The 26,657-nt window shown below is 39.1% G+C and overlaps 1 protein-coding gene across 33 annotated transcripts in view, besides 1 other annotated feature; it reads left to right on the top strand.

Moving 5' to 3' along the window:
* BNC2 (basonuclin zinc finger protein 2) overlaps nt 1-26,657 on the top strand; it is a 461,168-nt gene that overhangs the window by 164,524 nt on the left and 269,987 nt on the right. For 6 of the 33 annotated variants that reach the window (XM_047423487.1, XM_047423481.1, XM_047423484.1 and 3 more), the window contains one exon: nt 20,519-20,602. The exons of 22 other annotated variants lie outside the window; for them this stretch is intronic. In XM_047423487.1, the coding sequence (XP_047279443.1) occupies nt 20,519-20,602 (84 nt within the window). Of the gene's footprint in view, nt 1-1,066; nt 1,395-20,518; nt 20,603-26,657 lie in introns of those variants that run through there. 5 more of the 33 variants (XM_047423505.1, XM_047423517.1, XM_047423500.1 and 2 more) reach the window with 1 other exon arrangement.
* Nucleotides 993-1,747: an enhancer, noted in NCBI's record as "H3K27ac-H3K4me1 hESC enhancer chr9:16704398-16705152 (GRCh37/hg19 assembly coordinates)". NCBI's record gives its function as "activates a minimal SCP1, AML or CMV promoter by ChIP-STARR-seq in primed H9 embryonic stem cells {active_cell/tissue: H9 hESC(primed)}" and the evidence as "EXISTENCE:reporter gene assay evidence [ECO:0000049][PMID:30033119]".

Here is a 26,657-nt window from a genome sequence, read left to right as displayed (position 1 = left end):
TACTGTTGTGATTGGTTATAAAGGGCTACATGAGAACAATTTTAAAATTATAAAAACATTTGTAAACATTTAGTATGATTTTAATTTTTCATTTGGTATACATACTTTTTAAAATAGTTGCTTGTCAGTTATGTTGCTTGGAAGGCAGAACTCTCTGCACAAGCAATAAGTCAGTAAATCCAGTTTTTTGATCTAATATTGTTGCTTGTTTGTTTTGTAATAATAGCATGTAAATAAAAATGGTTAAGTGTAGGTGTTTTAGGATTCAATCCCTTTGAATTTTTCTCTCAACTTCTCTGGAGAAATAGGAATTGTTTCTGGGTGTTTTGTAAATCTAAATTGAATGTCACTTAAATGTGAAAGAACTGGCACCTTTGATAAGTAGTCCCCATACTGAATCATTTTGTCATTAATAATAACATAATTATCAATGCAAATGTAAAGTTTGTTTTTTAAAAAGTCCAAAACAAACAAAGGAGGGAAAAAAAAACCCAAGCCACACTATCATACAACTCGAGGAAAAAGCATCCCTACATTTAAACAGAAGACTTTCAATAGTAGCAGTAATAATAAGAAAGAACCTTTGGCGTCTGCCCAAGAGCCTGTTGAGAGGGAGCAGCAAATGGCCTGCGCAGTGTGTGGCTCTGCAGAAATTCCAGGGTGACACATGCCTCACAAGCTGGTCACAATGCAAGGGGTCAGGGGTCATGTTCAAGAGCAGGGTGTTGCTGGATAAGGCTGAGGAAGCAGAGGTGGCCCCTCTGTGCTCAGTGTGTGGGTCTGTGTACTCCTTTCCCGTCAAAGCTGGCCCAGCGCGGCCAAAAAAGCGGTTCCTTGGCAGGGTTTAATGGCAGGATGATGTAGTCTGTTGTGACTAGTGCATTCCTTTCAGGTTAAACTAGGGAAATGGCATTGTGTTAAAATTCCAAGTCGCATGAATGTTTTATTGCCACAGTGCATTTAGCCCTCCAGGGGAGTGTGTGTGGCGGCCGGTGGGGGTGGGGGTGGGGGTGACTTAGAGACTCAGGAACTATCAGAAGAACACTTCCCTTGGAAAATTTTACCCACTAGCATGAAGCTGATTTGCTGTGATGGTCACTTAGAAGGGTTTCGCTTTTTCCTAAACTGTGGCTGTTTAAAGTCTTGGAGTCTGGACAATTAACAGCTGAAGAAAATATGACAAGACACACGCAAAGAGGTTGGGAGATAGAGAGGAGGAGTGCGCCAGAAAGGAGCTGAGCTGCCTTCTTGTGTAAACTGCCTGAGAGCGGGCCCCCTCCCCTGGCCTCCGTCCCTGTCCCCCCTTCCCCAAGGCTGTGTTCTGCTGTCTGCCCGAAGGCCAGGACTGATCTGTTAACCTTGCACCACTGGCTGGGAGGCCGCTGCAGCTCATGGTACTGTATGTTACCATTACTACTCCCTCATTCTTTTTCACTGGCTTTTTTTTTTTTTTTTAAAAAAAAAAACCATTTCTCTGTAATAACGGTTTATATTAGTCAGAGGGATACAATTTTGGAATGCAGAAGATCCGAGTTTAAAACAAAACAAACTTTAGAATGGTACTTTTTTTTTTTTTTTCCTTTTTGGCATTTAGAAGGGCTAAATCCAACCATGCTAATTCAATTGCAGCCAAAGGTTTTCAGTGTGATTTAAAATCAGGAGTTCTGGAAATGGAGCAGTTGAAAGATGCAGTCATTTGGGCTGTGGATCTTATAAAGGGACTTTGTTGTGAAACCACACGAGCATCTTCAGGTTTTTAGGATATTTTCAGTCTTTGCATTTGTCTCAGTTATATCCATTTTGCAGATTGCCCCCAACCCCTATCCTTCCTTAGGGAAAACTCTAGCCGTCTCATTCACTGTTGGAGTTGTTTTAGGCTTACAGTTACTGAGGGTGTGTATGATTTGACTTCAGTTGTAATCGTGTGCATTACATATAACATTTGAACTGACTCAAGTTAATTTATAACAGATTAAAGTGTGGATGTGTGGAACAGCTTTCTGATAATGCAGTGTGCCTTTATAAAATATTCATGTGTCTGATTTTTTCCCCCAATGTATAGGAGAAATATGTATTATCCTAAGATGACCTAAGAAAGGATATATTAATAATAGTTTGAATTTTACTTTTGGACTGCATTTCTCTTCAATTTCAAACCTTAATTCTTTCTTTGTTTTCATGTTCCTGTTCAGATGTTATTTTTCTTTTCCTTAATAATACATATATACTTGTATGTGTGTGTGAGTGTGTGCACATTTTAATAACTGCCAAATAGTTATAAGAAAAAACTTGGAGAGCTGCTAAGTTACTTTTCCATTGATACATTATCAGTCAGAAAGTCATGTAACAAAAATTCAACTCAAGAATATAGCACAGAAAAGTAAACTATGAGTGGACCCGTGTGCCCTATTTATAGAGTTTTAAGTACATGTTATATATATCTTATAAAACAATGATTTTGTCAAGATAGACCCCTGAGTTTAATCTGACTAATGGTGTTTGTATGATGGCTTGTTCTTCTTAAACATATATATTGACATTATTTATAGGAAGTCTTACACCAATAAGCGATCAGCTCCATAGGAAAATCAAGCTGTGTTTATGGGCTGGGCACTTCAAATTTTAGGTGAATTCATTAGATATTTTTTTCTTATATTCTAGAGAATACCCACTTCAATAATTATTTCTTTTTGTTCTATTTGGTCTAGTAACATGATGATAGTTTTTTTAGTGATTTGTTTTTTAGTTGTACATTTTAAAATGTGATTTTTCCGGAGAATATTGCTCTGTGCTGGATTTTTATTTCTTTTACTTAACAGCCAATTTTAAAGTTAATTATTTTATTTAAATACTAGAAAAAGTAGTTAATGTTGCCAAATTTAGGAGAAAAATCTGTCAATTAACATTTAGATTATCTGAAGTTATATTTCTTTTCCTAGTGATAGAAGCACTTTTTTTAAACTGTGAAAAGGATGTTGTAGTTGTGTTCAGCCCTTTCCAATTTGATTTATTAAAAGTTTCCTTTCATAATCCAAGAGGGGAAGAGTGGAATTACTCCAGTATCACATCTCTCTAATAAGAAAATTTCAGCTGATTTAGGAATCTTCTCCGCATAAAAGTAAAATTTTCTTAAAAAATATCATCACTTGTTCTTTTAGTGTTTTCCTGTTCCCATTGTGCCAGGCACACTTGTTTGGCTTTGGAAACTTCGTGGAATAGTGAAAAAATGGGTGTTGTTTCAGATTCTAATGCTGCTACATGTTAGCTTTGTGACTTTGGATAAGTGACTTTATCCCTGACCTTTATTTTCTTTGCTTTTAAAATGGGGAAAAGGACATTTAGCTTACAGATTGTCAGGAAAATGAAATGAGACAACACACTTGAAGTTCCAGTACATAGTAGATACTTAATAAACCTTAGGTCATCCTCCTTTGACCTGCTCTGTGGCTTATTCTCCAGTTTTTATCCCTTGGGAAGCTTGAATTTTTGGAAATAGTAGTGTAGGATGGTAGGGGAATAAGTTTAAATAAAATGTTTTAGGTTCTTCATTTATCTCTAGGAAAGGCGATATTAGGCCATCAGCAGATGTCTTTTTTTTTTTTTTTTTTAAGTAAAGAAACTCTGGCGTTATTTATTAGTCTACATTTTTACCACTCTGCAAAATTTTCATTAGGTTGATCTTTGTGGATGTCAGAGTGATGCTATCATTTCTGTGTTACCAGTTTTGGTACAGGTAGTTTACAAGTAAAGTTGGCCGATTCTGTTGGATCCTGTTTACTTTTGTATAATCTTTTCTAATCATTTGCTTGAATTAAAGCTTCCTGCCTTATAGTCATTAGCATTTGATAGTGGATCTTGAAACTTGATTTTGCAAGTTAGACTCCAGCGTCTGTCCCTGGTTTTGTGAAAATCTACTTATAATCATGGAACTAAGACCACACTAAAGCTTCGAGTGTTTACACCTCTGTAGAATTAAACAAAACAGCAGCAGTCAACATACATGTATCTGGGCAATACTTTATCTTCATTTAGAATCTTGCAGAATGCCTAAAGGGTAGTTAAGGACTTAGGAACTATTTGTTGAGCAAAATAATGTGCTTCTTTTTATTGTTTTTTAGCCCAGGATTATGTTTTCATAAAAAATAATTGTGTTCCCATGTGAAGTACATTAATATTATTGTGGTTGGTCTTTTTTTTTTTTTTTTTTTGGAGAGTCTCGTTCTGTCACCCAGGCTGGAGTGCAATGGCATGATCTTGGCTCACTGCAGCCTCCGCCTCCCGGGTTCAAGTGATTCTCCTGCCTCAGCCTGCTGAGTAGCTTGGATTACAGGTGCCTGCCACCACGCCTGGCTAATTTTTGTATTTTCAGTAGAGACGGGGTTTCACCTTGTTGGCCAGGCTAGTCTTGAACTCCTGGCCTAAAACGATCTGCCCCCCTCAGCCTTCCAAAGTGCTGGGATTACAGGTGTGAGCCACCACGCCTGCCTGTAGATGGTCTTTATTTAGTATTGCTATTTTGCTTAACATCTAACTTCTTTTAGCCTGCCAAAGTTTGAACATACTGCATCTTAAGATCTAAAATAAATATTTGACTTAGTGTTTACTTTGGCTTGTTAGTAAGCATAAAAAAATGAAAATTGTTAACTAATAACTTTATTGCTACCTTTTAGCACACATAGTGTGCTAGGGATGCTAGTCATGATATCTTATTTATGCTTACAAAAGCATTCATGGAAGGTACCCATATTTTCATTTTACAGATGAAGAAATCAAGGCCTAACATGTGTAATCCAGCAAAGTTGATTCCAAATCCCTTGCTTTCCCCCTTGCTGCATTCTTCATATATCATTTAAGCTAGCTATTTAAAAAGAAAAAAGAAAGTTAGTTGTAGAAACCACTGGTTTTATTTCCTTTCAAATTAAATTTTATGAGGAAGTCAGTATGTAGAACTGATAAAAATCAGAGTTGTTCTAGATGAAAAGAGATAGAGCCACAGTCCCATCTTTTAAGCCTCTCCTAGGGATCCCTGGAATACTTGATGAGAAAGCCTTAGCCTAATACCTCCACACCCCAGAAAATGGGGCCTAGTGCAACTCTTCAGTTTCCCCATCTGGGACTTGAAGGTTTTGTTTATCTTGTGCTTGGCGATGTTATTATGTGGAATTCACAGGAAAAGCTAATCAGTATAATTTTATTTATTATTTATTTATTTATTCTTGAGACAGAGTCTGGCTAGAGTGCAGGGGCCCGATCTCAGGTTCAAGAAAGTCTCATGTCTCAGCCTCCCAAATAACCGCGATTACAGGTGTGTGCCACCACGCTCAGTTAATTTTTTTCTTTTGTATTTTTAGCAGGGATGGGGTTTCACCATGTTAGCCAGGCTGGTTTCGAACTCTGGACTTCAGGTGATCCATCTGCATCAGCCTCCCAAAGGGCTGGGATTACAGGCATGAGCCACTGCACCTGACTGCTAATCAGTATAATTTTAAAAGCTTATGAAAGACTGTGGGGTAAATACCACCGCAAAAAAAATTACAAGCCAGGTTGCTGGCACGCACCTATAGTCCCAGCTGCTTGGGAGGCTGAGTCAGGAGGATTGCTTGAGCCGAGGAGTTTTGAGTCCAGCTTGCGCAGCACAGACAGGGTGTTGCTTTGTTGCTTGGGATGGAGTGCAGTGGTGTGATCATAGCTCACTGCAGCCTCCAATTCCTGGGCTCACGTGATCCTCAGCCTCCAGAATAGCTGGGACTATAGTTGTGCTACACCAAGCCTGGCTAATTTTTTGTAGATATGGGGTCTTGCTATCAAGACCTCAAGCAGTCCTCCTCCCTCGGCTTCCCAAAGCGCTGGGATTATAGGCATGAGCAACCATGTTTGGCCTCATTGTAAATGTTAATTTTCAGGGTATAAATTTTGTTTCATCCATAGCAATGAAGTAATTTTACTATGGAACGAGTCTGAAAAAACTAAGTCACAGTTTTATGTCTAACTGAAGTCTGTGTCTACAGACTCTACTTCATTTTGAAGGTTAAAGTTTGGGTGCTGTATATCACATTATAGCATATCTATTAAAGACATATACATATCATACAGGCATATATGTGTAAACATAAGGATGGAGAAGATAAAGTGGATCAACTTAACTGGGAAAATAATGTCAAAATCACTATTTTAAATAAATTGCTTGTAAAACAAATTAACTGCCATGATAATTCTGTAATATCTTTATAAACCAGAAATTACAGGTTTTCTCACCAGATAAATTTACATTGGGAATTTATGTAGCTCTTTATTAGAAATATGTCTCTTTCATGAATATAGTGAGAAGAGTCCAGACTTTTTAGCTAGATTTACCTGCATTTGAACTGATCTCTTTCCTATGTGACTTTGTAAAAGTTATATAACCTCTTTGAATCTTAGTTGCTTCATTTATAAAATGGGGCTTAGAAGTAAATGATGCCTGTGAATTCTGGCACAGAGAGGGTTAGTTAGACCAATTTCTTCTTCTGTCTGTTACTATTGTAGATTGCTAGTCTTATGCAGTTTGCACTTGGTATCTGTTTATCAACAGTGCCACAGTGTTCTTTATACTTGCATCATGTACATACTTGGCCTTTTCAATTACTAGTTTAAAAAATACTTGTGTCACTCTTGCAGAAGTCTTACTTTTGCAGAAGAAAATGAGGGTGGAGAGAAATCTCTTCTTTCTTACTCTTCACTGAGAATCAGTCACTGAGCAGCATAATTCTAAAATCTTATGTGGCTTTTGGGTACTTTATGAACCTTTTTATGGTAACCCAGAAGCAAGGCACTGATTGAATTAATACATTTCCATCAAGGGACTATTCTGTTGGCCTGTCTTCCTCCTCCTAACCCATGCATGCTTCTATAAGGGACTTTTTTGTTGCATTATTTAGGTTGCCACATATAGTGGGGATGACAGTTTGTAGATGTGCAGGTTACTGGTAAGCCTTATAGCCTTTCTGTTTTTAAAACAAAGGGAAAGGACAAAACAAAAACAAAAACAAAAACAGAACAGCAACAACAAAATCACTACCCAAACCAAAAGTAACTTAAAAATACCATCTTAGCTTTCTGGAAAACCCAGTGCTTTATAAAATGTAGAATCTAAAGTTTGCATACTGATATTAATTTTTAATAGTTTTAAAACTTTTAAATACAACTTCTGTACAAAAGGATATGTGTTCATAGGGCAGATCTGATTAAGAAAACCTCAAAGAGAGAAAACTGCCTGAAGGGCTATCACCAAGGAACTGTTAATGTATTTTTAGTCGTCTTTCTTCATTTACAAGTACCTACCAATGTATGAATAGGTGGTAGTTTCATAAAGGGATGATGTTACATGTATATGTGACTTTTAAAAAATGCATTGTTATCCTAAGTATCTTTCCATGTCCGTAAATATAGGTATTCATCATGGCTTTTTTTTTTGAGATGGAGTTTTGCTCTTGTTGCCCAGGCTGGAGTGCGGTGGCGCCATCTTGGCTCACCGCAACCTCTGTTTCCCCGGGTTCAAGCGATTCTCCTGCCTCAGCCTCCCGAGTATCTGGGATTACAGGCATGCGCCACCACGCCCAGCTAATTTTTTTGTACTTTTAGTAGAGATGGGGTTTCTCCATGTTGGTCAGGCTGATCTCTAACTCCTGACCTCAGGTGATCCTCCCGCCTCAGCTTCCCAAAGTGCTGGGATTACAGGCGTGAGCCACCGCGCCCGGCCCTCATCATGACTTTTAATGGATTCTTAGCTTGCCATTGTATCATAGTTTATTTAATGAGTTCTTGGTTTGTGGATTTTTTTTTTTTAATAAACAGTAGTGCTTAAATATGAACATCCTTGCTTGCCCTTGTATGCTTATTTCCTAAAGGTGAAGACAGATGTGATACTGCTAGGGAAGGCAGCATAATTTTGCACAGCTTAAGAGAGAGATTGGCAAATCTGTTCTGTGCAGGGCTAGATGGTAAATAGGTAGATGTATGGTTTCTGTAGCAATTATTGAAGTTTTTGTAGGACCAAGCCCCTGTGTATGTAAAGGAATAGGCAGGGCTCTATTTCAATAAAACTTTATTTACAAAAGTAGGCAGCAGGATAGCATTTGGCCCACAGGCTTGTTTGCCTACCCTGGACTTGAAACTAAGTAGAAACTAATTTGGGATGAAAATTTATCCCTAGTTTGCTGTAAACTGCTTTTACAGTTTCTTAGAAATGTGTTCCTATCTCAGGGCAATGTAATGGGCTGATGACTGACTTTCTTTCCAGGTACGTGGCAATCAATACTTAATTTTAAAGAACTTATTAAAGGAGCTTCTCATACCAGCTCCTACTCCTGAAGCCTAGTAAATTTTAAACTAAGAGGTTATATATACCAGTATATATTTTTATCATTCTATACTTTTTTTTTTTTTTTGGAAATCGAGTCTCACTTGTTGCTTAGGCTGGAGTGCAGTGGCAATCTCGGCTCACTGCCACCTCCATCTCCCAGGTTTAAGCAATTCTTGTGCCTCTTAGCCTCCCAACTAGCTGGGATTACAGGCATGTGCCACCATACCCAGCCTTTTAAAATATTTTAGTAGAGATGGGGTTTTGCTATGTTGGCCAGGCTGGTCTTGATCTCCTGGCCTCAAGCAGTCCACCTGCCTCAGCCTCCCAAAGTGCTAGAATTACAGGCGTGAGCCACCGTGCCCTGCCACATCGTATACTTTAGATTTCAGCATATGTTGACAACTTGTTGGGCAAGGAACGACCTCTTTAATTAATTAATTAATTTTATTTTTGTATATTTTGAGGTGGAGTCTCGCTCTGTCACCTAGGTTGGAGTTCAGTGGCGCAATCTCGGCTCACTACCTGGTTCAAGCGATTCTCCTGCCTCAGCCTCCTGAGTAGCTGGGACTACGGGCACGTGCCACCACGCCCAGCTAATTTTTGTAGTGTAGTAGAGACAGGGTTTCACCATATTAGCTAGGCTGGTCTCGAAATCCTGACCTCGTGATCCACCCGCCTCAGCCTCCCAAAGTGCTGGGATTACAGGCATGAGCCACCGTGCACGGCACACTCTTTAATTTATATTGCAGGGCAGATGGGTATTTCCCCCTTTCTAGAAGGTTGCTTAGTTGGAGTCATGTTCTAGAGATATTCAGAAGTAAGCTGAAAGGAAAGTCCAATAAGAGGAGAAGAATCATTTCAGCAGAAATATACCACAGATCAACAGGGTGACATTGAGTTAGTTACTGAACCTTAATAGGCTAAATTATACTTGAAAAAATGCTCTGTGCATAAATAATAACCTTTTTGCATCTTGAGTTTCTATAAAACAGGAATTATTGGCCTCTACTTGCCTTACGGGTATTTGTTGAGGATCTGCTGGAATAATGAAATAGTTAAAATCACTCTATTTGTAACATTGTGTCACTGGTGCCCTTATGAATTTTAAGATATTTATTTATTATTCAGTATGTATTTGTTGACTATCTGCTATGTGTAAAGCAGTATGGCAAGTGCTATTGGGAAATACAAAGAGAAATAAGTTAGTTCTTGATCCTAAGGAGAGAAAAACATGTTTTTAAGGTTCAAGGTCATGTGGTGCTTAGAGCCCTAAGGAACATAGAGCACTTGGGACGATGAGATCCCTTTCATCCAAAGGTATCAGGAAATTTCATGGAAGAAGTGGCATCAGGAAATAGGGACATTTTCAAAGGGAGAATACAGGCGAGGGTATTCCAAAAAGAGCAGCATGAGAACTATTTCAGGTTAGGAAAGTCCAAATCAGTATGCAAGAGACATAAAATATTCTAATTAGAGTGTCTATCAAGCATTTTTCATGAAGAAGGAGGAGAAGATAAAGCTGGAAAGGCAGGTTAGAGCTAGATTGTAGAGGGCCTGGAAAGAACTGTAATTGGTAATTGGTGGGGAGCTATAAACATGATCTAGGAGAATGTGTTCGACAATTGGAGGGGTGGTGTATAGCACTAGTTGGCAAGTATGGAATGATAAAGTCAGGATTATTGCTAAAGGGTTATTGCAGAGGTCTGAGCATGTACTTGTTAGAATTATTCTGGAAAGTGTGTGGGGGACAGCTGAGGGGATTGAAAGGGCAGAATGGACAGGCTATCAGAACTGACTGGGTTCAGGAAATAAGGAGAAGCCTTTTAATAATGATGTATGGTTCTGAGTCTTTGTTAATGGGCTTATGGTAATAACATTGAAAAATATAGAAAAATCCAGGGAAAGCTGTAGTAAAGAAAGGAGACCAGTGAACCTATTTGCTTGTTTAGCTCGAGATGTTAACTGGACACTTAGAAAAATCTAGTGAGAGTTTGAAAATGCAGGACTGAAATTCACATGAGAGGTAAGGATTAGGGATTTGGGAGCCCTGTTCACACAGAGGTACGTGACAGATGAGACTTGAGAAGAGCTTCACGTCACTTAACGAGAATGCGTGTAAGAGAGAAAATGCGGCCACATGATGTGGCTCATGCCTGTAATCCCAGTACTTTGGGAGGCCGCAGCAGGAGGATCACTTGAGGCCAGGAGTTCAAGACCAGCCTGGGTAACTTAGCAAGACCCCCATTTTTATCAAAAAAAAAAAAAAAAAAGAAAGAAAAAGAAAAAAATTTAGCTAAAAAGAATCACTTCTCAGCTAAATTGCAGGGCACGTGGGTATTTTCCCCCTTCTAGAAGGTTGCTTTAGTTGGAGTCATGTTCTAGAGATATTCAGAAGTAAACTGAAAGGAAAGTCTAGGAGTTTAAGGTTGCAGCGAGTCACAAATGCACATCACTGCATCCCAGTCTGGGTGACAGAGCAAGACCCTGTCTCAAAAATAAAAATAAAGAAAAAGAAAATGGTATTATTTTAAGTATTACTTACCATTGGGTAAGTCAATTACGTAAGTAGCTCTGTCTTTTTGTGAGGCAACTAATACCAAAAGAAAAGCAAAAAAGAAACTCTCATGTATTTTACCATTTATAAAGCATTCTGTTGTCCACTAAGCTTCTCTTCTTAGCTTCTAAAGCTACTAGGTTTCAGGGGTAAAGTATGTTCAGTTTGGGGAAAAAATATTTTCATAAGATTCCCAAGGAAAATATAACTCCCTTTGACTTTATCTTCTCTCCACTTCCTGAGAACCTTAGTAACAAAGATGTTACTGGTAGGACGGGTTTACATTCACTTTTTACCTGTCTGATACAGACTACTACAGCTTTTCATCTCCCCTAGTTCTCACCCCAGTTGAGATCCATGCATTTGGGATGGGGGTGGGGGGGTATCCCTTAGAAATCAACTTTGTATGCGTTTGCACATTTTTCTCTTTTTAGTCTGGGGTCCTCAGCAGGCTTGGAGGGGGGATTGTGTAGTATACAGTATGACTTATGTTTGACTTGGGAAAATTTTTCCTGTATGGAACAGCAGGACTGAATCTGCTTTCTCATTTCCTTTCTTCTTTTAACATTACCTATGTTCAAGCTTTGCATGCAAAGAAAACCGTGTTGATTCATTGATCTTCGACATGCTACATTATGAGCCTTGGCAGAAGGTAAAGGCTCCCCTGGCTCCCCTGTTTAGAGCAGCCGGAATTCCTCTGGTCTGTTGGTACCATCTGTGGCCTTCCTTCAGGCTCAGTCTTCATAGTAAGTCTAACTCATGTCAAATGGGCCAAGGTGCTAGTCCAGAGTAATTTGCATCTCTAGCCAACCACTGTGCATTTACTCTAGTAGTAAATGCCTGTTGTATTTGTCTCTTAAACTGTGTATGCTACTGAAACTTTTTTTTAAAATCATAATTGGTTTAATGTAGGTGGTTCAATGAGTAGTTTGTGAAGTTGAATTTTTGGGAACTAATATTTGCTCTTTCCCTTTCTGATGCCACAACATATTCTTCTATCCTATTTCATTCAAATTCACTATTCTGCTTTTTTCACATAAGTTTTTCAATCACCCTTTTTCCCTTTGGTGTTGTTTAGCAAGGGAGGAAACCCTTTCAATTTGTTCCATTTTTGTGCCTCTGATGAAGTAAGAGCAACTCAGACGGATGTATTTTCTTCCTAAGTAAACTCTTTTCTAAAAAAATGCCACACCCTCCCCCCAAAATAAAGCATTCAATAGCTTGATGGTGATTACTTGAAGGCAGTCTCTTTCCTCATTAGAGGTAAATACATCTTCACTCTTGATTGCCGCGGAAAGATAGGTAGAGAAGCTGAGTGGAGCAAACCCAATGGCTGAGTTCAAGTTGACCTGGATCATTTTAAAGTGCTTTTCATGTAAATGCTACAGTTAATGTCTGTCCCCACATAATTTCTTTCTAATGTTTGCAGCAGATGTGGAGTTGGCCTTACCACTGCTCAAGCTGCTTGCTCATTTTGGCTTTTTCTCGTAAGCTTTTCCTTTCCTGGCTTCCTTTCTTTTCTTTACAGAGTGAGATGTTGGGAGATAAGAATTTTATGCCTTGGTGTATGCTCCTTCTTCTTTCTCTCCATTGTTTTAAGTTATATCTTTTCTAAAACTAAGTTATGATCTGTAGAGCTTTTGTCTTATGGTTCCTTTTTGGTTTTCTAGTTTACATGGGCTAGGGAGCCTCAAACTTTAATGCTCATCAGCATCACGTGGAGGGCTTGTAAACACAGGTGAGGGACTCCACCTCCAGTTTCTGTCACAGTGGGTCTCAGGTGGGGCATGCAAATGAGTTTCAGACATGCTCTCAGGTGATGATCACAATAATCTTTGGCCAAGAAGCATGCCTTGGGCACTGACCGAGACTATTGGTCTTGTCTGTCAGTGTGCTGCCCACCCCCAGAGGGTTGGGTTCTTCAGATTTTATTCATGCACGTTCTCTGGAAACTCTTTACTTTTTAATAATTTATAGGCCAGGCTGCTAGCATAAGAGAACTCAGAAAATTACCTTATATTTTAATTGTGAAACGGTTGGTTGCAGGAGGGGCAGATATGCTGCTTCTTGCCACTCTCACCCCCTCATCCCCCAGTGAAGTCTTTTTTTTTTTTTTTTTTTTTTGAGACTGTCTTACTGTGTTGCCCAGGCTGGAGTGCAGTGGTGAGATCTCGGCTCACTGCAACCTCTGCCTCCCAGGTTCAAGCGATTCTCCTGCCTCAGCCTCCCAAGTAGCTGGGATTACAGGTGCCCGCCACCATGCCCAGCTAATTTTTGTATTTTTAGTAGAGACGGAGTTTCTCCATGTCGGCCAGGCTAGTGTCGAATTCCTGACCTCAGGTAATCCACCCACCTTGGCCCCCCAAAGTGCTGGAATTACAGGCATGAGCCACGACGCCCAGCACCCAGTGAAGTCTTTAACACTAAGTCCCTCTGAGCTGACAGCGATCTTTTCGGTCATTCCAAACACAGCATCACTCTAGGAAGCCTTCTAAAAGATGATTGAGTTGGCCCTTGGTCCCTAAGTGAGACCAAGTGACTCTGTCTCTTTTTAGTTTCCCCAGTTGCTTATAATATTCCTTTGACCCTTGTGGCTTGCTTTCCTTTCCCCTATGCGGCTTCCATCGTGGTCTCAAAGTTCTCAGCCTTCATTGGATTGGTATGCTGTGGTGCTGCTTTTGTGGGCTGGGGGCAGAGTACCATTTACAGATATACTGTGTACCTACTGAATCCTTAGGTGCTTTACATGTGTCATCTCATTCAACCTTGCCAACCCTGCACAATAAATATAAGTATCCTCATTTTACAGGTGCAGGAAACAAGGCTCGGAGATACGTAACTGAGCAACTTTACAAGATATTGCGGTAGAGATTTAAACAGAGATCTAATTGCAAAGCTAGAACTCTTTCAGTATTACCTGTCTTTAAGATAGCTGGAGTTGAGTGTTGAGGATAGAAAGTAAGTTAACCTGGGTGTGGCATACTTGAAATTGCATTTAATGTCAGTTGTCAGAGTTGACAATGTATTTGCCCATAAGCAACAACCTGTGGTGTTCAATTTCCAAAATAATGTATTACAAGAATGATTGCAAACCAATAGAATAATAGAATTCTGTACCTTTTTTTCTTAAATATAAGAACCCGCCGGGTGCAGTGGCTCACGCCTGTAATCCCAGCACTTTGGGAGGCCAAGGTGGGCAGATCACTTTAGGTCAGGAGTTCAAGACCAGCCTGGCCAGCATGGAGAAACCCCATCTCTACTAAAAGTACAAAAATTAGCCAGGCATGGTGGCAGGCACCTGTAATCCCAGCTACTCGGGAGAATGAGGCAGGAGAATCACTTGAACCCGGGAGGCAGAGGTTGCAGTGAGCTGAGATTGCGCCACTGCACTCCAGCCTGGGTGACAGAGTGAGACTCCATCTTTAAAAAAAAAAAAAAAAAATGGCTGGGCACAGTGGCTCATGCCTGTAATCCCAGCACTGTGGGAGGCCGAGGCGGGCATATCATGAGGTCAGGAGATCGAGACCATCCTGGCTAACGTGGTGAAACCCCATCTCTATTAAAAATACAAAAAATTAGCTGGGCGTGGTGGTGGGTGCTTGTAGTCCCAGCTACTCGGGAGGCTGAGGCAGAAGAATCGCTTGAACCCAGGAGGCACAGCTTTCAGTGAGCCAAGATCGCACCACTGCGTTCCAGCCTGGGTGACAGAATGAGACTCTGTTTCAAAAAAAAAAAAAAAAAAAAAAAGAACCCATACCCATCCGTGGATCTGGTACAAGTGACTTCATTCTCATTTTCTCCAATGCTAAAACCCAGGTAAAGCAAGAATTGCAGGAAGTACGTGAAATCTGTCCAATAGTAGGATGTTTTTCGAGTAAAGCACTAGCGAAGTCATTGAGAGAACTTTGTCTTAATTTCACTTCTATCCATTTTTATCAAATGTAGAGGGAGACCATAGTGATAGGTCTCAGTTTTCTCATTTAGAAGTAAAAGGAGTACAATGGAAATTTCTCCCCTTCCTTACTTGTCTGATGTGGGAATTAATAAATATTACGTGTAAAGCCCTTTGAGCACTCTGGAAGAAAGATTCTATGTAATTTTAGCATTATTCGTGGTCCATTAGGCTCCTCAGGGTGTCACCAGGGAAGAGAGATTTTTACCTTTTATCCCATATTTCACAGTATAAAAACAAGGTATTTCTGTTGTTGTTTGTGGCTGTGAAAAATCTCCTGTAATTGTACCTGCAGAGGTTGCTCCTATCACAGAGCCCAGGGCACTGTTCTTTGGCAGCTCACCCCAGAGGATCAGCTCCTGAGGGAAGAGCAAGAGTGAACCTTAGTGAAATAGCTCCTGGTGGCTGTGAGGACATTGTGCCTGCTCCACCCCGCACCCTGGCATCCCCCCACCTCCGTCACCTTCTGTGTCTTTCAACCTGTTGCATAACAGAATCACATACTGATTGACTCTTTTCCATTTTCTTTTATCTTATGCTGATCCTATAGTTCATTGCTCTGAGATGACTCCAGAGGAGATCTGTGTCTCCTTCAGGCACTGGCATCTGTCCTATCCAGTTCTTCTCCTATAAAATATCTCCCATCCTTATCATGTTCCTATTGATACAACTCTGCCTTATCTGACTCTATAACAATGAATGTATTTCTGGTCATTCCATCCTTGAAAATGGATAAGTACTGTGTTGTATTTATTTATTTGAAACAGGGTTTCACTCTGTCACTCAGGCTGGATAATAAATACTGTGTCGTTAGTATGTATGTATGTATGTATGTATATATTTGAGACAGGGTTTCACTCTGTCACCCAGCCTGGAGTGCAGTGGCACACTCACGGCTCCTTTTAACTTTGAACTCTTGGGCTTAAGTAATCCTCCTAGGATTACAGGCACATGTCACCACACCCAGCTAATTTTTCTTTCATTATTACTTTTCTCTCTGTGTTGCCCAGGCTGGTCTAGAACTCCTGGTCTCCTGCCTTGACCTCCCTAAGTGCTAGGATTACATGTGTGATCCACCACATCCAATTTGACTCTGTTTTGATTTACCAGTTGCTTTCTGATCAGTGAGCAGTGGGTTCCTTCTTCGCCCTTAGGTTCTATATTCTTGGTCCTTCTGAGTCTTAGTCTGGGGTCCCATGGTAGAGAAAGTTTAGGCCCAGAATTTTGTCTCCTAGTTAAATTGTAGGCTGAAAAATGGAGATATAATTTAACTGCATACTCTGCCACGTAGCTCACCTTCCTGTGTTTCTGCTTTTGTATTCATTTATTTTGCAGCAGTGTGTTTAGCGTGCATCTTCATCTTTACAGTGTTGGATAATTTGTTTATTTCTTTATCTGCTCTTTCTCACAGGGACTCCTGGTGAGCTTATTGTCAAATCTATTTCACTTGATGGTCTTCCTGAACTCTTTGTGTTATCTGAGTGATTTTTCCTCTTGCCGCTTGGCATTGTATAACCACTGAAATTAGGCTGGAGTGCTATTGGGTCTTCCTTTTGGCTTGGAATCCGGCAGTGCTTGTACCTAGCCATGTCTCTGAGGAGCACTCTGATGGGGCTTTATTTCTGTTTATCTCTCTCCCTCTTTTTTTTTTTTTAAACTTACATTGTATATCATTCTTTTCCAAGGTCTTTGTCCCTTCAACACTGCCAGACTGAAGCCACCAAAACACATACACTTCAGAACTGATCTGGGCTTGGGGCCAGCTTGACTGAGGAGACTGGAGCTCACATGGAAGTTAGTTTGTTTATTTAGGCTGTGACTTTCATAGTGTCTATCAGGCAGATGCCTACCTGCGTGTTTAATATTTAAAAGTAAAATGGAAATTTCAAGTGGACCCTGGCTCTGCAGGGGGCATCCCTGACTACGAGCCCTTTTCATCGTAACATGACTCTTCTCTCAAGTTATCATTTCTGTGACTTTTCTCTTTTTTCCTTTGTCCCCTTTCTGCCACCCATTTTTCACAGCCATTCATCTTCAAATATTTTCAACGGTAGCTCCCATTTACAACCTGGAGCTTTTTATGTCTTCTTTTCAGAAGTCTGGTCCCTAACATTTTTTTTTTTTTTTTTTTTTTTTGTGATCTCAGTAAACAAAGAGTGTGTGTATGTGTGTGTGTGTGTGGTTATGTGTGTAGGAAGCCTGCCATATTTCCTCCCTGCCCCACAGAAAATATGTTTTCTGGAAGCCCTTTTGACACCGAAGTGAATGCCCACTGGCCCTCCCTTGTTGAATTCTCCTGAGGGGAGAGAGAGAGGCCTTTATACTTGTCATATCTTTTGTTTCTGCTGATTATACACAAAGTAAGTTGTAAATAGCTCTCTCACACACCATGATTCCTTCAAGGTATGTATATACAGGAGAGTAGATATGTACTCAGCCTCCACTTGCCCTGGGGATTTCAGAGGGTCCCTTTCAAGGCCTCTGACCTCCTGTTACAGTACTAAGATAATGAAATTTACATCAGTTGTAGGCAGTTATTCCATAATTAAACCTGTGGCATAATGTTTAGAAATATTAGCTGAACAGTTCACCATTTTTTTTTGTTTTTAAGTTAAATGATTTTATTACTTTTAAAGCAACATATACAATCATACAAAAAGAATAAAAGTTAAGTACCTATAATCTTAATCACTGTGAACATTTTGGAAAATCTTTGTAGAACTTTGTACTATATAGTATGTCAAGTATGTCATTAAAACAGGCACTAGGTGTTAGCACAGAGGAAAAGTGGATAAAACGGAATTCCCCAAATCAGTTTAAAATTTATATTAAATAATGGTTAGGCACACCCCATATTTTATTATCCTAATTTACAATAGACTAATAATAAGGGGTTAGACAATTGATATCTGATTTTTCTTCAATCATTTTTTGATTGCTTGTGGCTGGCTAACTTCTGAGGCTTCTAAATCAAAAGGTGGAATGAGATGTGCTAAATTACAACTAATTAGGTTATCAGCTTTTATCTCTTTTGTATCTTCCTTAGTACATTTTGATGAATTCAGAAAGAGATATGGTTTGCCTTTCCGTGTTGAAAGATTTCCCTAACTGATGACGCTGATTGTGGTGGATGGGGTGAGAGTGTGGTGTATTTTTAGACCATGAACCGTTCAGTGAACTTTGTGAACCAATTTTGATTTGAATCTCTTATCCCTCATTTTTTAGAATATGGGAGTCAACTTTCAAAGATTCTTATGGATATATTTTTCTGCTCAGAAATCCTAGCACTCTAAGTTTGAAAATGTACCCACTTCCCTACTAGTTCCTTTTTGTGATTATGATTGTTGAAACATACTGGTAGTTTGCCACCATTTCCTCCCAACTTACTCACAGACCTTTATGTTTTCTCTTAGAAACAGTGTATTTCTAAGTGTCTCAAGTTGTAATTGCATGTAATTTTAGTTGTTTAACTTTCTCCTTCCCTCTTGAGAATGTTTATAAAGTGCATTCTGTGACTGTGAAGATAAAAAGAACTAGAAACTTAGTGTTTGTGACGTGGTCAAATAATCTTAAGGTAAGTAGCAATTTGTTTTGTGTATGTGAGATCGGGTGAGGTTTACACTTAATTTGCAATATATGGCTTACTGAATCTGCCTTAGTTAAGTCCCATTTATTGAGGTTTTATAATAAGGTTTTGGGGGGATTCATTTTGATTTGGAATATTCTCAGGTTAATTTTTTTCTTTTCCCTTCTATTGCTCCCTGGGGAGAATTACTGTTGCAGAACTCATTAGTGGCCTTCCATATGTCAGCTGAGGGGTAGAATGAGCATTATTTCTATGTGTGACACAACACAAATGCACAGTGCCCCCGCTCTTCTCCCTGCTGCATTTCTTTCTTATTCCTCAGTTAAGAGGATAAATTCCCTTTTTTGTTACTTATGTTGTCCTAGACCAAGGAGCAGGTAGCAGGTCTTGATTTCGGTTAGCGCCTTTTTCCTTTGTTGTCTTCTTTGTAATTTCTTTCATATGAAACATCAACAAATACCTCTAGAATGGATGCCACTAAATGTAGTTATTACATTTTTTTTTAAAATTAAATTCTTGGAAATGTATTCTCAACCTTTCTTTTCTTTCTCATGTCTTAAGTTTGAATCCAGGTTTTACAACCTAATAACATGTGACTCTGAGCTAGTTATTTACCTACTCTAAGCCTCAGTTTTTTCGTTTGTAGACTGGAGATGCTCATACTCCGTAAGAGTGTTGAGAGGAAAATGAGGGTTAATCTACACGTAAGATTCCCCACATAGTGACTCGCGCATTGGCCTGCACGTGTGAAACTCTTGGGTAAAGAGTGGTTGTAAACTTCAAAGACAGATGACACTCTGTCCATTTCACCTTATGAGCCTAGTAAAGAAGAATAAAAGACTTGAAAAGAATGAGAGAACTGGACCTAAAAATGTTTGAAGCGTTGACCGAGTACCTTTTATTTTTCTTTTCTTTCCAGTGATATTCACTAGTGAACTTGCAAAGTGGAGTATACTGAACGTTGTTTAAGTTTGGACGATTGTACTGATTTTTGGGTGAAAAGAAAGAGGGAAGCACCTTTTAAGCTAGCATGCATGGCTGAAAACTGATGTCTGAACAAAGCAAATTGATTAGCACAGATGATCTTAATTGGAGTTTTAAAAAAGTCAAAGAAAACAAAACAGAGGAGTGCTTTGATAGGGAAAGAAGACAAAGGTGAGATGATGCTTAGTTGATGTATTGAGTTTAGAGACATATAGACAGATATATGATTAGTGTGAGTAGTATAAGTATGGAAATAATGAGGAACAATTAGAAATTTTTAAAAAGCAGAAAACATGTTTAGGTGGAATCTAAAACCTTGTTTAATCTTAAAAAAATCTGAAATGAAATAAGCAAGGGACAGTAGGCAGTATTTAGGGATGATATTGACTAATTATAATAGCTTAGTTTTAAAAAGGGATCTTAGTGGCTTTCAGTTTAGAATTTTAGATATAGAGAAACATTCATTAAGTTTTAACCTTGTTTTTTTATTATTAGGACAGATACATAAAACAAGGTTTTTAAGCTTAAAGATAACATGTTTAAATGAGTAACTATTAATAATAAATATTGATAAATAGAAGTCTGCCTGTGCTAGCCTACACCAGGAACAGGAAAAATAAATTTGAACAAATATTTTAAGAACGTAAAGGAACTTAGGCATTGTTGAATGTATTTTTTTTTAAATTCCTACATAAGAAAATTAAAGGAAAGAGGAAAAGAAAAAATTTATGTCACCAATGTGAAACAGAAATTATCTATTTTAGTCTTTTCCCATCCCTGCATTTCCTTCCTTCTGTCTCCCTCCTCCTGTCCGTGGCTATTTATTAGGTGCCTACTGTGTGCTACCTGCTGTGAATACAAGGAGGAACAAAATTTATGTTGCTTTTTTCTTCTTGGAATTTACCTTCTGGTAGTTAATAAACTTTGTTACATGGTATTCACTATATATTTGACATACTAAGTGTCACATACATGTCAAGCCATGATGACCTGTTAGAGACCCGCAGTTGGGATTTCCTCTCTCTGCCTGGGTCAAGTGTGACTGTGTGCAGTTCTCAGCAGCCTCCATACACAGCATCTAACGTGGCTGTATTCCCTCAGGTTCCATTGGCATGTACTGGCAGAGTGCTGGGGGCAGACTTCTGCCCAAACCTGGAGGAGCCATACCACAGGCTGGAAGTCCAGGTTAGAGTCTTAACTGTTTTCTCAGCTAGGGGTGGTGTGACAGAAACAGTGGTCCTGGAAAGCCATTTGGGTATATCAGCGTCATCAGGAAAAGACAACCATTGAGTTAGGTGTAAAGAGGAACCAGTGTAGCGTATGTGCAGCCATAGGTCCTTTTCAGGATGCGTTGTCTGTAACTGTAGATCATTTGTCTGTTCAGTCAAGACATATATACATACTGTAGTAAGTACATGGTCTCTGAAGGTTGACTACCTAGAGTTGATACAAGTTGCTGTGAGACCTTTGGCAAGTCACTTAATTTAAGTGAACCTTAGTTTTCTCATCTGTAAGATGGAGATTTACCACACAAGGTGATGATGAGAATTTAAAGGACCTGACATATATTCAGCAGTTAGTGCAGGACCTGGCACATAACAGGTACCCAGTAAATATTAGCTTTCATCTTCTAAGACTTTTGGGATATATGTGAGTAAGTCATGCTTCCTACAATATGGTCTCCCGGCTCAGGAGAACAGCAGCCATTCAACTGAGTGCTTTATAAGAAAAGCAGGACTTAATGAAATATCTTCTGTCTTCATGCGTTGGAAGATATGTCTTGTGGTGTAATAGGAGTATATTAGCAAAGTACATTTTTTTTTTTTTTGGTGAAACTGTTGGATTGAAATTCAGTTCGTTTTGTATGGTCTTGAGGCATTAGAAGTGATTTGGTGTATTGCAAATTAAAAATGTAAATGTGACATTTTGGCTAAAGGCATGCCTCCATTTCTATGTACATAATAATATTTAAGGAATGTGTGTGCCAATGCAAAGATGCAGGCTGAAGTTTCAACATGGGTAGCACTCCCTAGCATGAGGAAACTCATACTTTTTTTTTTAGGACCTCCATTTGGCCTTATTTTCTAAATTTTCAGGCTTATAAGATGAGCATAGTGAGCTCAGTTTTAAAACGTTTTTACTGATTTAGAACCACAAATGAGAAGAGAGAACCATTTAAAAAATGGACTTCTATGCAGTGAGAATGAGGGTAGAAGTGGTGGTAGGAGGAGGTTTCAGTTTTTATGGTACCGAAGGGTATGCCATCTCTAGCACACCTGCTCTTGGCCCAGGGAAGACCACCTGAGCTCTGCTGTGCCCCAAACTGGTACTGTCTGGGTGGTGTATGTCTGTGATACAACAGAAAAGCAGGTGGGACACATGAGACACGATCATGTATTTCCTAGTTCTAGAAAGCTAACAGCTTGTGTGTGACATGCAAATGCAGAGTGATGGAAGACTTTTTGTGGAGAGTAGTCTGATCCTTGACCTTTTTTGGGTAGGACGAGTGATGTTCTTCAAACACATCACCTGGAATGGTCTGTCATGGGTGATTGTTGGAAATCTGTTTTTAAACCTTGAATTACAGTGAAAAGAAAATTGGGTTTTGCAGATGTGAGTGTGTAAAATAAAACTGGAAAAAAAAACCTATTGAGTACATTGACATACTATGGGAGAAAATGTAGAAAATGTTATATTTACAGGTTAAAGTAACATTCTGGTTGTAGATGAACCAGATTGTGGGGTTGATAGTTCAGAAAGGACCTTGCAAAGAAGACTAAGTTCCTGGACAAAGTAATGAAAGTGACATTATTGGATATTCCTCATTGTGGATCATCATTTTGGTGGACTGCGTGGAAGGATTGAATCTGTTAAAAGATGATCAGCTATGGAGAGTTAGTCAAGTAGCTGGGACCCACTTGAAGCATTTCTTCCTCTCTTCTTTTTCTTCTGCCTTCCTAAATGTGCTTCTTCTGCACATTTTAGAAATACCTAGTACATATACATATTATGTCCACCATAATAAAGATGCTTAATATACTTTTCACCAGCTATCTATTTCAGGAGTATTTTTTAGCTTAGACTGCTTTCATTCTTGCCATGTCATGTGTCCTAGTCCTTTTTAAATTTTTTCCTAGAGAATGAGCCATTTCTTATTGTTCAGCATAGCTTTATACTCTAGGGAGCTCACTATAGGACTTGCCAGTCATCTCCTTTTCCTGCTTGTATCATAGGCTTTGCCCCAGGGCTAGGCATTATCATCACTAGAGGTTTTGCTGTTTGGCCTCTTGATTCTGAGAATAACCTTCCGTACACCTCAATTTAGGAGCAGCGGTTTGTTTATATTCTTTCTTAGAAAGGATTTTTGTTTAGACATACAGCCCTGAAATCTGGTTTACTTTTATGTTTTAGCTGACGTAAGTTCTCATGACTGGTGGAGCCCCTTTCTGCTCTTTGCCTTCTTCCTTTTAAACCTTTGCCTTTTATTCCTAAAATTTCAGATTTCTTAGCAGCTTTATTTTTAATAATCCCAAGATCCCCTACTGTGGTCAATGAATGTATCTTTGGTTTTGAATGACTGTCAACCTTCAAGTCTGTGCCTGATTTGACTTTTGCAAGGACTTCTGCTGTGGTTTGTGTTAATATTGCTTGATTCAGAAAAATAACTGGAAATCAAGATTTTGATTCTGTAACTTTATTTACTTTCCCCAGTGGCTTTTGAAGTGGGTACTCCAGTTTGGGAGGTTAACTGATGAACAGCAGCAAAGAATCCCACTCTTATGCAATCATCTTCTAAGAAATGGTTATTCTAATTTAGACTCTCCTTAATTGCTGATATTTTACTTTTATCAGAGAAAAGTTACTTTGTTAGTTCAGTTGTGCCTCATCATGTATTAAGTTGTTACATTTAGCTCAGCACAGTTCTTTTCTTGGTTGGGAATTCAGGATGTGAGGTTTGACTTGGTATTTTTCACCACTGAAGTGCTTAAAAAATTAGAGTAAATAATGAACCAATATTTCAGTACTAGATTAGACACAATTTGCTGTGATGTTTTATAAACCACAGGCTCCTTTCTTATGTGAATGCGTGGAGGATCACTTTTTTTTCCAGACATACTGGGGTGCAAGTGTAAATTTCCATAAAAGTTAAATGAGGTGCTTCCTGTAATTAATGAACAACTGTGGCTGCTCTCTGGTCTGCATTGTAATTAACCGTGATCAGGCTTGTTTAGTGATGACACTGTTCCTGTAATAATTTGACAAGCTACTGTGAATTTGCCAGGTTATTAAACAACCTGCAGCATTCACTTCTGGAATCACGGAGATGAGCTCGGCTGCTGCTGCTAGTTAAATGCAGCATAAGGGTGAACCAAAAGCTGCTCATCGAAGTCTGTCGATCACTATGAACGGATTTAAATTCCTATGATGTTGGAGAAGTTAATTAATTTTGTATAGGGTGTCTTGAAACTTTTTATTACATGATAAACCTACTGGGGCAAAGCTGGTCATGTTTATGAACTCACAATGAAGCCAGCAAATTCTCTATATTTTTTAACAACAGTATGAACTAAACAAAATCTGAAGTTCTCCTTACCACCTTATTAAATGGGTATAACTTATTTTTAAAAAAAGGTTGTTTCCTTCACAGATACATCCACAACATCCCCCCAAATAAAAGTTCACTCTCTCTTTTTTTTTTCTGTTCCAAATAGATGACCTTGTGCTAAACAAAGTGGTGTTGCCGGTAGAGCAGTCTAAGTGGACCAGTAGCCTTACATCCTTGGTCACCAGCGCACCGGTCCCCCAACCCCCTCTTTCAGGTTAAGATCTGTTCAAAACGTTACTGTCTAGTTACTGTGGTGTCTTTCATTCAGATTCTGTTTATTGACTAAACCGCAAGGATTCCTGCCCAAAGTACCAGGCGGTCTATGCTTGACTGATTTTGATTTTCTAACATCAGCCCTGCGGTTTATTTGAAAAATGTACATACACTGCAGCTTTAACAAGTCAAGTGACTGCATGTTTTTGACCATGGAGTAGAGTATATCTGAAGATCATTAAATTTAGTGGGGGAAGGGAGGGGTAGAGAATAAGTGTAGTAGTCATTGTACCATTGCAGAGTGAGTGAGTGTGTGTGTGAGTTTGTGTGTGTGACACATGGTTTTTGTCTTTTCATCTTCTCCAAGAGCCAGAAAGTTTCCTGCAGTTCTCTTTCCAGCTATTGACAAATGATTGCCAGATGTGAGATCTTTGCAGTGCTCTTTCCCTCAGCAAACCTGCAGCGATGGGATATTTGATTCTCCCTTGCCCATTTCATCTCCTTTCCACATCTGCCAGGGACACACAAGCAATACATCCCTACATGAGAGTTTAAAGTTTATTCAGCTCCTTTTTCCCCTCCGATAAAATGTTTGGAGACAACAGAATGAGGTCCATATGACTCTCTCCTGACTTCACCGTATGAAATTAATTGTTTATTTTACTTATCTACCTCTCAGTAATTGAAGTATTTCATTTTAGTTTCGGTCCATGGAAAATTTGACGTAACTCTGGGAGTGCTAAGAGTTTCCTATTGTCTGCTTGCTGCAAGTATGCCACCATCTCAGCTTCCCTTTGAGTGCCTCAATTCTGATAAAAACTAGACTGTTGGTTTCACAGGACTTCCCAGTAAAGTAATTTTAATCAACAGCTGTCAAAATATTAAGTGTGGAGTGTCTGGTAAAATTCAGTAGTCATTTAGAATTTAAAAAGCCATCTAAGAGGGAGAAAATTCAACTTATTTGGTTTGATTGGTTTACTCTGTGTTTGTGTCCATTGTCGAAATTGATATGGATGAGGCTCTAGTTTTAATCACAAGTAGCTTAAAAAAGAGAAAGTACACTGAGTTTCAGAGGAATCTGAAGTTAGCCTGTGTAGGCCACACACGTAATCACTAACATGCACAGAAGCCTTTTGCATCTGCTTGGAATCTGTATTGATACTGATTTTTTTTTTTTCTCATCTCAGTTTGAAAATATTTTCCAAAATGCCCTTATAGCTCATGTTCATACCATAGGGTGGGCTGACACAGGTGGCCTGTCTGTTTTCCTTTTACACTTTTTGGCAAATGGAAAGGCCCCTTATTCCCTGAATAAGATCAACGTTTTTTTTTTTTTAAACATTTAAAAAATAATCCATAAAATGTCTGCCACATGTTCTCTAGTTTATGGAAATGTTTGCCAAATTAGACTTGTGGAATTGGATTCTTATTGTAAAAGTATTAGTGTGTTTACTATTTCTGCTACCTTCTTAGCTACCTGTGATTATGTGAATTTATATTTTTATATGAAATTTAAATGAGGAGTATAATTATTATTTCTGAATTCCCGTACTGAGGAAAAATTTTTTGTTATTAAAGGAGGTAAGTGATTATACCCACATCAGAATCAACATAGAAAAAGTGTGAAGCCTGTTTTTCAATATTTTCTTTAAAAAATTAAGAAAACGACAAAGCTAACAACAACAACAACAACAAAAGCCCCTGAAAAGATTAAATCCTCCTAAACCTAAGTAAATGGCGGAAAACCATTTACCACAAGTTGCCAAAATGTTGTATGTTTCTATTGAAAGTTTTCACTGAATAGGATAGAACATAATCACAGTTGAACATGAGGACAGTGATTTCAAACTGTTTACCCTTAAAAAGAAGATGAAGATCATGATGGAGGGGTTAAGTTTAAATAACACTCCCCCTATGCGAAACAAAATTACTAAGAACCAAACAGATCCCTGTGGAAAAGTTTGTATGATTATTGTTCTGACTTTCCCTGAGGACTGACGCCATGGTAGGCACTCAGTGGATACCAGTGGTGGAAGGTGGAGGCAAAGAGCCCTTTTATAAAACAACAAGGTTAGGAACTCCTCTGGCAGGAGCCAAGTTCCTCCGAGTTTAGATCACTTCACATAATGTGCCCTTGCTAATGCATTTGCTGGTTTCTCACGCCTTCCTGCCTTTTCCTCTCCATGGTTACTCTGGGAGGCAGAGAGGTGCTAAGCAATGGAGGTGTCATCCGGCCCGCGCATCTAGGGAACGTCCTTCAGAGGACAACTTGTCACCAGCCGTCAAAGAAGAGAGTGGCTTTGTGGTCTCTGAACATCTGGCAGCGCTGCACAGGAAGCTGAGGGGGTGTCATTAATTGTGATGAAATAATTTAAACCATCAGGAATAAATGAGGCTGTTAAGCTAAGTTCAGATTCCATT

Source organism: Homo sapiens, chromosome 9 (genome assembly GCF_000001405.40).
Source record: "Homo sapiens chromosome 9, GRCh38.p14 Primary Assembly".
In the NCBI taxonomy this organism is placed as follows: Eukaryota; Metazoa; Chordata; class Mammalia; order Primates; family Hominidae; genus Homo; species Homo sapiens.
This window is presented reverse-complemented; position numbering and strand designations above follow the sequence as displayed.